The 3615-nt window shown below is 47.1% G+C and overlaps 1 annotated feature.

Moving 5' to 3' along the window:
• Positions 2927-3316: a silencer, noted in NCBI's record as "silent region_1615". NCBI's record gives its function as "represses an Ori minimal core promoter by ATAC-STARR-seq in GM12878 lymphoblastoid cells {active_cell/tissue: GM12878}" and the evidence as "EXISTENCE:reporter gene assay evidence [ECO:0000049][PMID:35858748]".

The following is a 3615-nucleotide window of genomic DNA, read 5'->3' on the forward strand; positions in this document are numbered from 1 at the left end:
TGGCTCTCCAAGGAAGGTACCTTTATTCGCAACTATGTGATGAAGATACTGAGTGTTATGGATTGAATTTTGTCCCCCGAAAAGTGACATGTGAAAGTCCTAACCCTCAGTACCTGAGAATGTGGCCTTATTTGGAAATAGGGACATTGTAGATACAATAATTTGAGTTCATACTAGAATAGGGTGGGTTCCAAATGCAATGTGACTGGTGCCCTCATAAGAAGATGGTGAGACCCAGAACACCCTGTGAAGACAGAGCATTGGAGTGATGTATCAGCAAGCCAAGGAACACCTGGGCCTCTAGAAGTTAGGAGATGGAAGAGATCCTCCTACAGAGCCTTCAGGAGAGCATGACCCTACTGACACCAATTTTGGACTTCCAGCCTCCAGAACTGTAATGTAATACATTTCTGTTGTTTTAAGCCACCCGGTTTTTGGTGCTTTCTTATGTCAGCCCTAGGAAACTAACACTGAGTCTTAAGGAATTCCTCACTTGTCCAGAATTGCCCAGCTAGTTTGGGATAGAGCCAATATGCCAATATTCAAACCCAGGGCTGCTTGGCCCCCAAATCCATGGTCTTTTTTTTTTTTTTTTTTTTTTTTGAGACGGAGTCTCAGACTGTCGCCTGGGCTGGAGTGAAATGACGTGATCTCAGCTCACTGCAACCTCCGCCTCCCGGGTTCAAGCGATTCTCCTGCCTCAGCCTCCTGAGTAGCTGGGATTACAGGCACACACCACCACATCTGGCTAATGTTTTGTATTTTTAGTAGAGATGGGGTTTCACTATGTTGGCCAGACTGGTCTCGAACTCCTTACCTCATGATCCACCCGCCTCAGCCTCCCAAAGTGCTGGGATTACAGGCGTGAGCCACCGCGCCTGGCCTCCATGGTCTTTTGATAATGCTGGGGTGAGTCAATCTTTGATTCTATTTTACTGTGATAACATGATGTAGGATCAAATATTGACTCATATCAGAAAAGTGATTCCTTATCTTCTAGTCTTTTTAATATTCTGTGAATAGTATATATTTTTGTTAGAAAAATTACTGTACGCTACTATAGACTTCATAAACACTGTACACTTAGGTTTCACTATATTTATGAAAAAATATTTTTCTTTCATCAGTAACCTTAGCTTACCATAATGTTTTTACTTTATAAACTTGAAAAAAATGACTCTTTTATAATAAGTTTAAAACATAAATACATTGTACAGATACACAAAACTTTTTTTTCTTTATATCCTTATTCTATAAGCTTTTTATATCTTAACTTTTTAATTTTTAAACTTTTTTGTTAAAAACAGACACAAACACACACATTAGCCTAGGCTTACAGAGAGTCAGGATCATCAGTGTCACTGTCTTCCACCTCCACATCTTGTCCCATTGGAAGGTCTTCAGGGGCAATAACACACCCGGAGCTGTCATCTCCTATGATGACAATGCTCTTATGGAATACCTCCTGAAAGGCCTGCCTGAGGCTGACAGTTAACTTTTCTTATAAGTAGAAGGAATGCACTCTAAAATAATGATAAAAAGTATAATACAGTAAATATATGAACCAGTAACAGTCGTTTATTATCATTTTGAAGTATTATGTATTGCACATAATCATGTGTGCTACCTTTTTATATGACTGGCAGCATGGTAGGTTTGTTTACACCAGCATCACAACAAACATGTGAGTAATACATTGCGGTACAGTGTTACAATGGCTTTGTCGCTAGGTGATAAGAATTTTTCAGCTCCATTATAATCTTATGGGACTAATGTCATATATGTAGTCCATCGATGATCAAAATGTCATTATGGGGCACATGACTATAAATGTACCTCTTGAGGACTGGCCTTTCTGACAGCTTTTTTTTTTAGTTTTGAGGATCAAACCCTTGGGGCCATTGATTCATTGGATCATTCAGCAAATGATCAAATGGGTAATTTGCGGTACAATCTAAGCAAAGGAAAACCTGAAGATGTCCATTTCTTCAAGGAAGCTCTAATCTGGAACAGCAATAAATTCTCTACGCAAAAGAGAAACACTCAAGGCAGTAAGGTAACAGCTCTGAAAGTGCTAAAAATATGGAGGGGAGCGAGCGATAACTTGTATGGTCACCATTGACCTTGCTGATGCAGAAATAAATCATCTTTACTCTTCATTCTCTTGAATTCTCACCTACCCTGCCACCTCATCCAAAATTTGTTAATTCTATGTGCAAAACATCTTTCAAATCCACCCCTCTCTCTTCATCCTCACTGCCCCCATCCTAGTCCACATCAATGCCAGTCTTCTGATTTTCCTGTCCCTAGTCTGATCTTCTCCCAATGCACTCTGCAGAGTGACCTTTATGAAATGTAGATCTGATTATGCCACGTTCCCACTTTAAAAGCCTCTAGAGGTGTGAACCTCTAGAGTCTTCTAGAATCTGACTTCCATTCTCTGTCCAGCTTTATTTCTTGCTGGACTACTCTATGCTCCAGCCATATTGGTCAAAAATTGTTTTAGTTTCTGGAACCTATGGTGATCCTCTCACCGAGGCCTGCTATTTTCTCTTACTGGAACTCTGTCCCCTCCCCTGGGCACCCTCCCGCCTCTGGCCTAGCGAATTCCTTCCATCTTCCGGTCTCAGTTCCTCCAAGAAACCTTCTCACCTAACCCGTCCGGTCAGGGTACTTTCCTTACCTAACACCCACTCCCTCGTTTACTTCTCTTTGGCTGGACTGAAGTTGGGCAGGGCAGGGGCTAGTCTGCCTTCTTCTGGGCCCAACCCTCCCGGCCGGCACCACAGGCATTACAGGTACTCTGTGCACTCAGGCTGCGCAGACCCGCAGCTTCCTATCCTGTAGCTCACTTTCCTCTGAGGCGGGCTGGAGGCGGAGCTTGTCCGCTGGGGGTGGGGCTCAAAGCTGGGGCGGGGATACGGAGCAAAACTTAAGAGGAAGATGAGAAGCCTGGTTGGCCAGGAGGCTTATCTGTCAGGACAGGGGGCGGGGCCTGGGGGGCCGTACCTTTGCTTACCGCGAGTGGGCGGGGCAGGTTTTACCGCCGCGGCCCATCAGCGAAGATCGCTGAGCGGCGCCCGCCTTGCGGGCCTCCAGGACCCGGCCGCCGCCATCCGGTGGGAAGCCGGGTGGCCTGCGGGTGAGGGGGGCGAGGCGGACGGAGGGCACCACACCCCCCGGGGGGCGGGGCGGGCGGAGAGCACCCTACATCCGGGAGCCGGGGCGGCGCCTGGAGAGCGGAGCAGGCAGCGCTTTCTGCCCGCTGAGTGGGTCAGGCGCCGCCCCCTTGTGGTCTCGGCCTGCGGGCAGCCCTTTGGAGCGCGCGGGAACCGGACGCCCGCCCGAGGAGAGAGGATCCAGGAGACCACTCCGGGCGGGATCCGCGGAGCCTGGGGCCGGGCGGTTGGCCCACATTATAAGAGGGCCTGCGTTGCTTCTACCTCAAAGGCTTTAGGGTGTTTGTTAATTCCCCGCCCCCCAACCTGATGATGCTCCAGGTATTTACAGGCAGGTGCCCCATAGGCTGTTTACTGGGAAGCAGAATTGGTGGACTCCGTTCGGGGATATGAGGAAAGATCCATAAGCAGAGAGAATAAAGCCTTTGCACTTACA

This window comes from Homo sapiens, chromosome 1, assembly GCF_000001405.40.
Source record: "Homo sapiens chromosome 1, GRCh38.p14 Primary Assembly".
NCBI classification, from domain to species: Eukaryota; Metazoa; Chordata; class Mammalia; order Primates; family Hominidae; genus Homo; species Homo sapiens.